This window comes from Homo sapiens, chromosome 11 (genome assembly GCF_000001405.40).
Source record: "Homo sapiens chromosome 11, GRCh38.p14 Primary Assembly".
Lineage (NCBI taxonomy): Eukaryota > Metazoa > Chordata > Mammalia > Primates > Hominidae > Homo > Homo sapiens.
Genome location: NC_000011.10, coordinates 107,029,514 through 107,045,288, shown reverse-complemented (window position 1 = coordinate 107,045,288; position 15,775 = coordinate 107,029,514).

Here is a 15,775-nt window from a genome sequence, read left to right as displayed (position 1 = left end):
GACAACTGTATGTAGAGTGGGTAGATACGGGGTCTTGAGTGTAGATCAATTGAGCCTGGTGGGATTCAGATGTATTTGGAGTATCATATGAATTAGTGGAGCACATAACTCAGAGTTAAGTCTTTGATGGGTTTATTTATATGGGCATAAGGGGCCTATCAGGCAGAATTTTCTATAGGAGCACTTGGGGATGGCATGGTAGGGAGGTCACAGTGGAATCTATTCTTTTGCCTGCCATGTCTGGCCTCGTGATCAGACTCTCTGGGGAGAAAGCTTCAGGCTGGTGCTACAGGAGCTCTCGTAACAAAGGTATTTGTGAAACACTGGGATTTAAGTCATGGTTCAGCCTAGATGGGCAGCATTGGTGTGTAGCTCCACAGAACTGGTGAACACAAGAATGAACAAACACATTTTGGGCACTTTCCTGAGGGCTGAGGTATTGCCAGAGTTGGTTGGGGCAATAGCTACTAGAATTTGCCTTATTATTATTATTATTATTATTGATGTGCTTTCATGTAGAAGCAGACAGGTGGATGAGGCCTGAGAACAATCAGGAATGAGTCAAGTGTTTCCTTGATTCTACTTTCCTGTCAGCTTTAAGATGATTCACTTATTTAATAACAGCTCTTTTGCGGGGAGTAGGGAGGAGCAAAGCAACACAGATACACATGATGTCTACACCAATTTTAAGATACCTTCTGATTACAGAAACTTTAAAAAATGGAGGAAATTATGCTTCTTAGAACCAAGAAAATATGGTATATAATATCTGGTTTTGTGGCATATTTTACTGATATCAACTCAACTGCATCACTTTCCAACAATAGCTTTGGAGTCAAAGAGAATGGAGTTTGTATTCTGGCTCTTCAATAGCTGTAAGCTACTTAATTTATTTATGCTTCCTGCATCTCAGTTTCCTCTTTGGTAAACTGAGACAATAATGATTAAATAATCATCATAAAAATAATTCTTGTAAAGTACTTAGCATACTGACTGGCAGACTGTAAGTGCTCAAAAATGGTAGTTACTGTTATTTTATTTTCTGTGCAGTAGAAATGTAAAGTTTTACTAAATACCAAATCACTGTTTAAAAGGAACATTGGCAATCTGGAAAAGGGTATCCAGACTACTGAAAGATCTATCAACCAAATCATACAAATAATTGCTTTAAAAAAGTGGGAATAATTTGCTGTGCACAAAGCAGGAAGTGGGGGTGGAAAAGGGAAAAGACACAATTATTAGCTGTGAATGTGAAGGGCTGTCATGTATGTAAATTAGGGAATAGATTTTTGTGTGTGTGGAAATTTTGATATTTAAAAGATAGTCATTCTTGTACATTAGCAACCAGGCAGTTTTAACATATGCTGAACTTTTCACATTCTTCCTCAGACCACACTCCGTTGACTCAGACTCGGTAACTGTTGCTTCTGACCACACATGCCAATTCTCATTGTTCTTGTTGGTTTTAAGCTTTGATCTGGAGACAGCAATAGTAAGACTGTGAGGTCAGTCTTAGAAATTAGAAATAGTCACAAGATGAGTATGATTTGGCTTCTTGGTTGTTTTAGTGGCTTTGAAAAAGCCTCTAATTTGGGCCTTTTATGTAGTGATGATGTGGGAGAAGCTGGATATCTCGTGGGAAGAAAAAACTGAATAGTGGCTGAGATGATCTTAGTTTTTGTTCTCCTTTAATATCTCTATTACAAGCTCCTTATCTCTAGAAAGAAATGAATAAATACAGTGTTGGAACCTCATATAAAAGAGCTATTTTCAGCTAGGTCATATCAGTTTGACTCCATGCTTGAGTTTGTGGCAGTAAAAGAACAAGGCCTAGAGTTCATAGGATGAGTATTGTGATACCAAGATTGCTGGTGTATCTAACATAGCCTTCAAAGTAGTGTTATCACTTTTGATTAACTACAACCACTGAATCTTATTCTTCACATGCAAACCATGGGCCTGGTAGTGCCTAAAGATGCTCTGCGGTGGAGTTCTTATTTAGCCTGTCTCCTTAGTAAAGCTGAACCAAATGTGACATTAATAAAGTGGTCTGTGTGAACTGACAGAAGAGTACTTCATTTCTTAATAGTTGTTTTATATCTCCCTTGATCGCATTACTGACTTTGTTTAACTAGTAAGTTGGTATTTAGTTGTTGCATTTCTGTGATGGGAGCAGGTGCTGGTTTAAGCAGCTTCCAGAAAAAAAGGCAGGCACAAAGACAAATGAGAAGCATTACCAACATCAGGCCAGTGACTAGGAAGCTTCATTGTAATGCACTGCACTGCTCCCGTGTTCTTGGCCAAGGGAGTTTCATTGCTGTAGGCAAGTAGCTAGATCTGTCTGTTGTCAGTCACGTTGATCTGTCACGTTTGCTAGGATGTACAGATGCATAATGTGGACAAGGAGCTGAGGATGATTTTGTATGTGCCAGATGGGATTGTGTGATATGATCTCCCCTGACTGTGGGAACGACTGGCTTAGAATGTTCTTGAGCTGCAAAAAATATCTCCTCATTACTGTGTACAATTAATTACATGCCATCAGCTTACTGTTTGCTATAAATAGGCACAGATTTATCTTCATTTACATTTTAGAAGGCTTACTCTCTTCCCAACAAAACAGCATTTTTCGTAGGAATGTATGCTGGAGGGAAATGTAGGTGCTGTCTTTCTATGGGAGATGTGGCAAAACCCCAGCAGAACTCTGATATTTTAAATTATAAAATAATTTATAAATAAAAAATATATAAATGATATTTTGTATTATTTAAAATAATATATATAAATATATATTATAAAATATTATATTTTTATATTATAATTTTAATTTTATAAATTTAATATTATAATATTAAAATTTTAAAATATAAAAAATAAATAAAATATAAATAAATAATATATAAATAAAATATAAATAAAAATCTGATATCTTAATTATAAAATATTTCTGTTCTTTTAATCATTAAGAATGTCTTTTATTTTTTATCTCCGTCAAACGTACCATGTTTTGAAAAATTGTCCTCTATCAAACCACCTGTATTAAATAAAATGTACTCCCAATTTAATAACAGCAGCCATAATTCAGAAGTTCTGATCAATTGAAACATTATAGCTAGGAGAGAAAAAAATGGTTTTAGACCTTTGTTCACTTTTTTGAGATGTAAGTGTGATTTCCACTAGTCATTCTTTAAAAAAGATGAAAGACAGCTCTACAGTTTTATTAATGCTTTCGCAGACCAATAGGAATTCGGGCACCTTTGAATTACCAATGTCCTAGCATCATGTAGCTATTATATTATTATGATTATTAATTATTGCAATTATAAATTTTATACAAATTTTTCCTGTATTATTTTATTTGCCTCATAAGAATAATCCCTTCAGATAGCTATTTGGTTCCTATAATATGAAGACCCTAAGAGACAGAGAATACAACGGACTTGTCCAATATCACATAGCTATTCTGAGACTTCAGTTTCAAAATCAGGCACAAAGGTCTCTTTTCATCTTTGGTCATGAACTTTATGAAAGTTTTCAACAAATCTGCACCCATTCATGCATTTTTAAGTTGACATGTAAAGTTTTTCATTACAAATTTAAATAGCTTCAAATGTAACATCTCTGATGTATCTAATGTACCAATTATATTAGTCTTTTGAATGTATCCTATAGTATGAAGTGATTGTCACCCAGTTATAAAATACATGGAACAATTTTTTATTTAATAGTCAAAAATAATACATCATTTTTTTCTGCATGTCTTGTATTTTTGTTCCATTTTCCCTACAGAATGCTGTCTTGAAGTTTTTATACCCAAATATGTTTTATAAATCGTAACATTATATATCTTTGCAACCAAAGTGCAGTTGATCCTCATAATTTGTCAATTTTGTATTTGCAAATTTGTCTACTCATTAAAATTTATTTGCAACCCCACAATCAGTACTTGTATCACTTTTGTGGTCATTCACAGACATGCAAAGAGCAGTGAGAAAAATGAGTCACCCAATGCATGTGTTCCCAGCTGCGGTCAAACAAGGCTATGTTCTGTTTTCCTGCTTCAGCTATCATACTACAAACAAGTATTTTTTTGAGGTTTATTGAGCACATCTTCTGTGTTTTTTTTGGTAATTTTCCTTGTTTATAGTAAGTATAGTGCCAACATGCTATCTAGTGTTCCTAAGTGGAAATGTTGTGGGAATTAAGGGATGGGAGAGACCAATAGGTTGAACAGGAGGATTTTATTTAGTTGGCCACCAGTCCAGTGAATTAAAATCCAAAGGCTGAGCCCTGAACAAAGACAGGGCTTGACTTTTATACATGCAACTGAAGGGGGTTGGCCAGTTTAGTGGTGTGAAACCTGCAGGGTGGGCAAGCAAGCTTACAGAAGCAGAACAAAGGCAGTTTATCAAACAGTGACAGACACTGCAACTCAAGCGTGTCTTGTGACCTTTGCCATACTGCACAGATGGGAAAGCAGGAACTTGCAAAACTCCTACAAACTTACAAAAATAATCACGAGAATGGTAAGGGAGAAGGGGGAAGCTAAAAGGGGAGAAGAACTTGTTTTTCTCATCCCTGCTCCAGGATGGGATGGCTCTGGGGCTCTGGGGCTCATCCCTTGAGGGCCCTGGCTCTGCAGATAGTGTTATCAAAGCCATGCCAGAGCTCTGCCTATCACTGGGTCTTGGAGTGTGTCAGCCTAGTACAAGGCTTGTTTTTTTCCTGCTTCATAATAACACTATGATGTGCCTTAGGGAGAACACATATGGGTTACTGGAACTTTCTTCAGGCAGGGGTTACAGTTTTATTGGCTGCTAATTCAATGTTATTGAATCAATGATATACATTAAACAAGAGGTTTTAAAGTAGAAACATCATTAAACAAGGCTATATATTGATTGGTTGATAAAAATGTTGTGACCAGAAGCTTGCAGGAACTTCACTTTGTATTTCCTCTAGGAGCAATGTTTCAGTGTTTGCTAATTCAATGCTCACAGCAACTTTATAGAACATAGCTTCCACAAATAATGAGAATTGACTATATGTATGTAATTTTAAAGTATTTTAAAATACTTTATAATCAAAAGCTCTAAGTATTAATACATTTCTTCTGTACTGAGCTATCATTAAAGTTCTTTTTTTAACTTTTAAGTTCAGGGGTGCATGTGTAGGTTTGTTACATAGGTAAACTTGTGTCACGGGGGTTTGCTGTACAGATGATTTCATCACCCAGGTATTAAGCCTAGTATCTGTTAGTTATTTCTCCTCATTCTCTCCCTCCTCCCACTCTCACCCTGTAATAGGCCCCAGCGTGTGTTGCTCCCCTCTAAGTGCCTATGTATTCTCATCATTTAGCTCCCACTGATAGGTGAGAACATGCAGTACTTGGTTTTCTGTTCCTGCATTAGTTTGCTAAGGATAATAGCCTCCAGCTCCATCTCATTCTTTTTTACGGCTGCATAGTATTCCGTGGTGTATATGTACTACATTTTCTTTATCTAGTCTATCATTGATGGGCATTTAGGCCGATTCTATGTCTTTGTTATTGTGAATAGTGCTGCAGTGAATATAAACATGGATGTATCTTTATAATAGAATGATTTATATTTTTTGAATATAAAGTTTTTAGTAATATATAATTATGCACACACACAGGATTTACTTATTGAATTAGCTTTATCATGCAGGCAATCAAGAAAGATAAAATCAAGGAGTATAAAGAGATAGAGATAAAATAAGGAAGATAAAAGAATTACATTATTTATTGAATTTTTATGATATGGCAGTAAAAAAAAAAAAAGGAAAAAAAACAGAGAGGAGAGATGAGGAAAGAGAAAGCAAGAGAATCAGAGGATAAATGGAGAGGAGAGCAGAACCTAGGGTAAGTGGGGAGAAAATGAGATTGTGTTACATATTTGGGTAAGAAGAGAGGTTTAATAATTACACCTGCCTGTAAAAATGGAAGTCAGAGGGAATAAGCACATACACATGCAAACATGGACACACACATTTCAAGAGTGCCTAAAATATAGACATTAAAATTTTATTTCTTTTTTAAAGAAAACCTTTAGTTAACTGACACATTTATCTATGAAAATGGTTTCCCAACAGTGTTAATGGGGATAAAATCCAGTGAGAAATGTATGGGAATTATGTCATGCAGTGGAAAGGGAGTGTTAGAGGCAATGCAACTTCATGTTTATAGCAAAGATTTGCCTTGCTTTAAGGAATTCTACAAAATTAGATGCATTTTGTTAGCTTGATGCATCTAGTTTTGCATTAAGAAGAATATTTTTATTCCAAAATTATTATTTGTTCTAGCATAGGTTCGTTAGGTGGGCACCTTTTAAAATATGAAAACCTCAGTACATTTATAGGTCAACTTATGATGAATTGAAAATAAAAATAAAACATTTAAATCAATATGAAAATATTACCAAATTTATGAGACTTGTATATTAAATTTCAGGAACCTATGTTATTGCATTAAGCAAGAGTATGTCTGTTTATCCCAAGTTTTGTTGTTTACTTTAGCTACATATTCTTCCTTTTAAAGTTAAGTGATGGTATAGGAAAGGGTTTCTTGAACTTTGTGGTATTACGTCATGTCATTGGTGTGATAAATCAGTACCGGGCAATAGTACTTGAAGTATGCTTATAATTCACATTGATCTTCATACTTAAATTTGCAGGCTACCTTGACACAGATCCAAATAAAAGTATTTTTGTAAATTACTGATGTATCTAATCCAGTGAAATTGAGTTATATGGTCATGTCTGAATAATTCTCATTTTGATAATTTTATAATCGTAATCATGACATTCAGAGTCATATTATGGTCAACTTTCTAAATTAGATTAAAAGAAATATCTATTTTTGGTTACATAGAACAAGTTTCATTTAGTGCTGAAAGGTCAGGCTTAAGACATTTCTAAATGGCACTTCCAAAAACGGCAGCACTGTTACTGCCAAAGGGCAGGTGAAAATGCATTTCCCCATATAATTTTGAATGTTAAAAAAAAGAAAAATCAAAGAAATAAATTCCAATTTAATCTTTTAGCTGAATGTCACTGATCACCATGAATCTTTGTTAAAATGTCTTTGTTAATAGTATTGTAAACTGTCATTTGCTTCAAAATTTTAATGGTTATAGAGATGATAGAACAACATTATTCTGTTCTTTTCAAGTGGTTTGACTTTCCCTAACTAGTTCCCAAAGACAGATTTTGAGCTTTTTTGCTTTTGGTTTGCTGAGGCAGAGGAGAAACGTTACATGAAGGCTTGTGTTACTTAGCACTGGTCTTCTGTGAAAATAACTATTCTGAGAGAAGTGGCTTGTCCAAGGAAACAAAAGTATTTCACAGACTTCTTTGAATGTCTTTATTGTATAGCTAAGGAGTGGGAAACCCTTGACTAACTGGAAATGTAGTCCTCTTAGTCTAGTTTCTTTTGGCTTAAACCTAACTGGAATAGTATCATTTATGCCTATAGTTTCAAAAACACAATCGGACAGTGACAGCCTTTAGTCCAGTTTCCTGGACTACCACAAGATGGGGCTAAATTATAAGTAGACAATGATATTTGTGGTCTATCAGAGCAGGCATTTACCTGATTTTAATTTTGTGATTGTTGCTGCTGCTGTTGTGATGGGAAAATGAGTATGTAACCATCTAAAGCTTACAAACTTTAGTAAGTGAATTTTTTTTTTTTTTTTTTTTTGAGACGGAGTCTTGCTCTGTCGCCCAGGCTGGAGTGCAGTGGCAAAATCTCGGCTCACTGCAAGCTCCGCCTCCTGGGTTCATGCCATTCTAATATTTTTTAAAACAACTCTGGAAGAAGTATTTCTTCTTCCCAAATGATCTACTTTAGTGGGTGTATATATCATTTTTTTCTTGCCCAAATAGCGAGTTTGCCTTTTTGCATTTTAAATTATTGTACTGATTGATTATGTATCTGCATATATGACATAAAATAGTACTTTTAAAAAGATTGGTCTAGCGTTCCATGTGATGAAATACCTCTCTCTAGCCTTTGTTTCTCTCCCCATGTCATAGACATTATCTCTTCTCCTTCTCCTTCTATCTGCCTCCTTTTCATCTGTCTCTCATTTTTATCAGGTAACTGAAATGCTGAGGGTGTTTTTCCATTTTCTATACCTTCTCCTACCTCTATGACTGGGGAACCCTAAGCTAGCATGCTCAGATAGAACTGAAGAAATTCACTGGGTTAGGAGGAATGTGCATCCAAAGAGTTTGAAATCTGGTCTTATGTGCTAAATATTCATAAATATAAAATTATATTGATAATATTTATTTATTCATTAATTGACTATTCACTGAGCACAGACTCTGGACTCAGTGCTATACTAGATATTAAGTATAGATTAGTTAGGACAGAAATGACTTCTTTAGTAATTAGGTTTTTGTAAATGCACAGATAATAAGTTTTCCGTTGACACATTTTGACAAATATATTTACTTGTATACCCAATACCCAAGTTGAGATATAAAACAATTTCATCACCCTAGAAAGTTCTCTATTCACCTTAATCCCATTTCCAGTCAATTCATCCTGCCCACATTCCTATTCCTAGCAACTACTTTTTAAATTTCTATCACAATATGTTAATTTTTCCCCTTCTTAAACTTGATATAAATGGAATTGGCTGTTTTATGTATGGCTTCTATCGCTCAGCAGAGCATTTTTGAAATTTATCCATGTTGTTGAGTATATCAATAGTGTGGCTATTTATAGTGTATTATTTTCTTGTATAATACATCACAGTTTGTTTATTCATTCTATTGATGGATGCTAAAGTCACTTATGATTTTTTACTATTCTGAATAAAAGTGCTATGAACATTCTCATACACATCTTTTTGAAGACATATGCTTTCACTTATTTTATATATAAACCCAAAAATGGAATTGCTGAGTCCTTGTATAGGTGTATTTTTAACTTTATAAGAAATTGCCAAATAGTTTTTGAAAGTAGTTATACAATTTTTACTATAAATAATAATATAAGAAGTTTCCAGTTTGTCCACATACTCAGCAGCATTTCCTATAGTCAGCTTTCATTTTAGCCATTCCAGTGGGTGTAAAGTAGTATTTCATTGTTTGGAAGTATACCTAACCTAATAAGCGTATTTATTAACAATACTACCAGAAATCTGGAGGGTATGATGAAAAAATCGAGAACGGCAGTCAAGAGTGCAAAGAAGAATCTTGGAGAGGAAAGACAAAGTAGTATGGGGATTAAACTATGTAGTGAGAAGGAATGAATGAATATTCAGAGTTTTCTATGTTAAGCAGTTGTCTGTGATAATAGGTATAAGAGTCATTAAAAGTGCTGACCAGGAGATCGAGACCATCCTGGCTAACACGGTGAAACCCCGTCTCTACTAAAAATACAAACAAATTAGCCGGGCATGGTGGCGGGCACCTGTAGTCCCAGCTACTCAGGAGGCTGAGGCAGGAGAATAGCGTGAACCTGGGAGCCGGAGCTTGCAGTGAGCCGAGATTGCCCCACTGCACTCCAGCCTGGGTGACAGAGCAAGACTCCATCTCAAAAACAAAAACAAAGTGCTGACCAAAGCAGGGAGAGACCTCAGTTATGTGGTACATTTAGCTGTTTGTAGCTCAGTTGATATTCAGCTTAAATTTTAAAAAAGTATTGAATAGATGATAATAGAATGTTTGAGCTATCATTGCCCCAGACCCCTTCTTGCTCTCATTCTTATGATGTCTTAAAATGCTGGTCATACTCTGTTCCAGTAATTAAAACTAATTACAGAAGATTTCACCCTGTAGAGTGCCCTAAAATTAAATATCCGTATCAACACTTTGCCCTTGACCCAGACTCACCTACAGATAGATAATTCTGGCTTAAAACCCTCTTTCTCAAAGTGAAAAAGGGGAGTTTGTTCAAATCATCTTGTAGTAGGAAGAACACAATGTCTTCTGAAAGGAGAATGTAGAATTTATCACTACCATAGGTCATCAAAACATTTTGTAGGACTTTTATTGGTCATAAATATGATGGAGCTAATATATTTAGATCTTGGCATTAAAAAATCATTCACCACTGTGGTTACATTTCACTATCTCAAATGTTAAATTCTGCATTTTAAAACTTGCCAACAAACTTTAAAAAAAATTCCACATTTTACTTTGGAATAATTTTACATTTACAGAAAAGTTGTGAAGATAATACAAAGATTCCATATACCCTTGACCCAGATTTCCCTACTGTTAAACAACTCTCACAACCATGGTGCATTTGTTAAAACTAAGAAATGAACACTGGTACCTTACTATGAACTAAACTTTAGACTTCATTTGGATTCCACCATTTTTTCCGCTAATGTCCTTTTTGTTTGTTTCAGGATTCAATCCAAAAGATAGAATATTGCATTTAGTTATCATGTATCCTTAGTCTTCTCTGGCCTGAGTCAGTTTCGTAGTCTTTTCTTGTTTTTCATGATCTTGATAGCTTTGAAGAGTCCTGGTCAAAAATTCTGTAGAATGTCTCTCAATTTGGATTATCTGATGCATTTCACACTATTAACCTGGGTTATAGTTTTTTTTGGAGAGAAATACTGTAGAAGTGGAGTGTCCTTCCCATCACAACATATTAGAGGGACATAGTATCAATATGACTTATCACTGGTGACGTTAACCTTAATGACTCGGATAAGATGATGTCTGCTGGGTTTTTCCACTGTGAGATTACTATTTTTCCCTTTTCACATTCTATTCTTTAGAAGCGAGTCACTAAGTCTAGTTCACACTCAACATGTGTCTGTGGTGGGGACAAGGGGCATCATGGGAATTAAGCTCCCTCTCTTGGAGTGGGCATTATTTACGTATATTAAAGGGAAATTTTCTGTACAGAAGATTTATATCTTCTATCCATTTACTTATTTTTTCAATAATTTATATTTATCAGTATGGACTCATGGGTATTTATTTCATACTTTGTTTTAGACTCTAATAATCCATTATTTTGTTCAAATTTCTAGCTTTGTTTGGACTTTGCGAGCACTTTTGGGTTGGCTCCAGTGACTTTTTCACATAAATAACCCCTATTTATTTTCCTTTTTAGTGCTTATTTACTTTTTGACATTACAAGATGCTGTAGACTCTTTTTTTTTTTTTTGAGATGGAGTCTTGCTCTGTCACCCAGGCTGGAGTGCAGTGGGGCAATCTCGGCTCACTGCAAGCTCCGCCTCCCAGGTTCACGCCATTCTCCTGCCTCAGCCTCCAGAGTAGCTGGGACTACAGGCGCCCGCCACCGCGCCCGGCTAATTTTTTGTATTTTTAGTAGAGACGGGGTTTCGCCGTGTTAGCCAGGATGGTCTTGATCTCCTGACCTCGTGATCCGCCTGCCTCGGCCTCCCAAAGTGCTAGGATTACAGGCGTGAGCCATCGCACCCGGCCGCTCTAGACTCATCTTATATTTTTCCTGTGCTGGCCCTAGAATCAGCTGTTTTTTTCCAGGACTCCTAGTTTCATTTACTGGAAATTGCATTTAGAAACCAAGATCTTGATACTGGATGTGTTTATTAAAACTGGGTGTCATTGCCTTTAGACCCTTTCTGTGGACAGAGCTAGAAAATAAATGAATAGTATGTATACACACATCATATCCGTGTGTACACATAGTATCTACAGAATGTTTTACAATGGCTTGGGAAATACCTTCGCATGAAATGCAGAAGGAAATACCAATATTATAAAAGTCAAAGGATTCGATGGAAAATGTCTTACCCTGTGCCAGATATTACTCATGTAGTGCTACTTTTGGTGGATATAGGTGCTAGGGACTTGGCATATCACCGACAAAACATTGAACTAATTTATTAAATGGCTGAAGTGTATTTTGAGGTTTATTTTTTCAAAACAATTTATTCATCTTAATCCCTCCTCCTTCAAATTTTTAATCTGAAAACTTTGTCTGCTATAAGTACTTCTTTTACTAACTCTTTTGGATATTCCTATGATGATTATTTGTCATATTTTCTCTTTTTTTGGCTTCCATATTTCACTTTTTTCTTTACCTAATAAAGCCCTGATATTTTCACTGCTTAAAAAACCCATAGAATAAAGCTATATATAAAACTTTACTTATATAACTAAAGCTATTATCTACTTTTCTTCAACTAGCATTCTAGCTGGTTAAGCCAGATATAACACTCTGATCTTGCTTTAGTACTGCCCCCTTTACTCCAGTGGTGTTTACTAATACAATTGGCCCTCCGTATCTGTGGGTTCCTCATTCATGGATTCGATCAACTGTGAATTGGAAATACTAAAAGCAAACAAAAAAGGATGGTTATGTCTGTACTGAACATGTATAGACATTTTTCCTTGTCATTACTTCCTAAGCAATACAGTATAACACCATTTCCATAGTACTTACATGGTATTAGATAACATAAGTAATCTAAAGATGATTTAAAGTTCTCAGGAGGATGTGCTTAGGTTATATGCAAACCCTACACCGTTTGTATAAGGGACTTGAGCCTCCATGGATTTTGGTATCTGTGGGGGTCCTAGGACCAATCCTCCATGGATAGCAAGGGACAACTCCATTAATGTCTTCAAGATGCCCATATCTTTCTTCTCCTCTCATAGTTAATTTTGAAGGCCTGGAAGTGGGGGTGGGGGGACTTTTATTTTTATTTTATTTTTAATTTTAATTTTATTTTTATTTTTTTCCATTTTTTTTGTTGTTGCTGCTTCAATGTCTTTCAAGCATCTCTCTATGCTGTAGGGATTTGATCCAGTTTTTTCTTTCTTTCACAGATTCTTTTTTTAAAAATAATTTCAACTTTTATGTTAGATTCAGGAGGTACACGTGCACATTTGTTACCTGTGTATATTGTGTGATGCTGAAGTTTGGGGTATGAATGATCTCATCACCCAGGAAGTGAGCACAATACCTAACAGGCAGTTTTTCAGCCTTGATCTTGTCCCTTCTTCCCTCTCCAGTAGTCTCCAGTGTTTATTGTTCCCATCTTTATGTCTGTGTGTACTCAATGGTTAGTTCCCACTTATTAGTTAGAACAAGTGGTATTTGGTTTTTTGTTCCTGCATTGATTTGCTTATGATAATGGCCTCCAGCTGCATCCCATTTTGCTGCAAAGGACATGACTTCATTCTTTTTATGTCTGCATAGTATTCCATGGTATATGTGTACCAATTTTTTTAATCTAATCCATCACTGATGGGCATCTAGGTTGATATGATGTCTTTGCTATTGTGAATAGTGCTGTGATGAACATACAAGTACATGTATCTTTTCTGGTAGAATGATTTATTTTCCTTTGGGTATATATCCAGTAATGGGATTGCTGGGTTGAATGGTAGTTCTGTTTTAAGTTCTTTGAGAAATCTCCAAATTATTTTCCACAGTGGCTGAACTAATTAATATTCCCACCAACAGTATGTAAGTGTTCCCTTTTCTCTGAGGCCTCATTAACATCTTCTACATATTCTTATGCTGCACATCCTCAAACCCCTCTGCTATCCTATAGTATCTGACTGGATACCCAGGACCTTTACTTGTTGTGATGGTTAATTTTATGTGTCAATTTGACTGGGCCATGGGATGCCCAGATATCTGGTTAAACATTATTTCTGGGTATGTCTATGAGGGTGTTTCCGGAAGATTAGCATTTGAATTGGGGAACTGAGTAAAGTAGATGGCTTTCCCCAGTGTGGGTGGACACCATCCAGTCCACTGAGGGTCTGAATAAAACAAAAAGCTAGAGCAAGTCTGAATTTGTTCTCTGCCTGACTGCTGGGGCTGGGACATCAATCTTCACCTGCTCTTGGTACTCCTGGTTCTCAGGCCTTCAGACTTAGACTGGAATCTGTACCATTGCCCTCCAGCTCTCAGGCCTTCAAACCGCACTGTCAGCTTTCCTGGGTCTCCACCTTGCAGACAGCAGATCATGGGATTTATCAGCCTGCGTAATTGCATCAGCCAATTCTTTATAATAAATTTCATTATATATATTTATAACATATATATAAATAATAGGATAGGTAATAATAAGATATAAGACACATTATATATGTGTGTGTGTGTGTGTGTGTGTGTGTGTGTGTGTATGTCCTATTGGTTCTGTTTCTCTGGAGAACACCAACAAAATATACCTGTTGATTATCAGTTGTCAGCACAGTTGGGTGATTATATATAAATATAAATTTATATTATCTCTATATAGAAATCAGGGTAGAACATAAAATAGTGTATACTTGATATCTCTACTTTCTAATTTTCACTTTGCTCAACTCACTGCAAACTGGCTTCCAGCCTTCACTAAAACTATTTTAAGTTTTCCAAAGACTTCTTGACAAATCCAATGAATGTTTTCCATTTCTAAAAGCTATTATTGGACTACTTTACCATGTTTAACTATGGAGTCTTCCATTCTTAAATTTATTGACATGACATTCTTCTGATTCCTCATTGTGCTTGCCTGGCCTGTCTTTCTCTCTTTCCTCTGAGAGCCATCTTAGATGTTGGTGTTACTCAAGTATTTTTATTTGTATTTTCAGTACACTATCTCTGTGTATCAGTTTCCTATTGCTTCTGTAACAACTTACCACAACCACAAACTTAGTGGTTTAAAGCAACAGAAGCTTATGTTCTTACAGTTCTGGAGGTCAGAAGTCCAAAATCAGTTTCATTGGACAAAAGTCCAGGCGGTGGGAGGGCTGTTACTTCTTTAGGCGGTGAGGGAAGGATGTGTTTCTAGCAGCTGCTAGAAGTCTCCTATGTTTCTTGGCTTGTGGCCCCTTTCTCCATCTTCAATGTCATATCACTCAAATCTCTAATTCTGTCATCACATCACTTTCTCCTCTAACTCTGATTCTTCCCGCATTCCTCTTATAAGAAGCCTGTGATTACACTGGGCCCACCTAGATAATCCAGAATAATTGCTCCATCTCAAATTTCTTAACTTAATTACATCTATAAATTCCATCTTGCCATATAAGCTAACATATTCCCAAATTCTAGGAATTAAGATGTTGAGATATTCAGGGAGGTTATTATTTAGCCTACTACACTCTTGTTGATCACCTTCATTCTTACAGTTTTGATTAAACTAAATGTTGATGATTTTCATATCCGTGTATTCTACCCAGCTTTCTGTTCTGCACTCAAGATCCATACATCCAACTGCCTGCTAGACATTTTCACCTGGATTTATGTAAAATTCAATTATAAGAAGTAGACCTTATCACGTCCCCCAGGCCATTTTCACTTCCTATGTTTTTTATATCAGTTAATAGTCTCCAAAACTGAAATATGTGGTCATTCTTAAATCTCACCACTCTCTCAGTTCCCATATTAAAGCAGTTGCTGCATCCTGTTAATTTAACTTATCTTTTTGTCTAATATGTCCCCTCTAAATCTTCCTTATTTCAATGATCAGTTTTCCCATTTGCAGAATGGAATGATAGTGCATAATTCTTAAGCATTATGATATCAACTTTACAGATAAAGAAATTAAAGCATAGAGAAGTCAGAACGTTTTGCAAGGTTACATAACAAGAGAATTGGAGTTTAAATGTGGGGTTCAGTTTTTTCTACTTTAGGCAAGTTCCTTTTATCTTTTCTGGATTACTCAAATAGCCTCCTAACTATTTTCCCTGATAATTAAGTTTGGCTCTTCAAGTCTATAGTCCTCAATGTCACATGATCTTTCTAAGATTCAATAGTAATTCCTCAACAAGGTTCTCTGTGATCTGGATT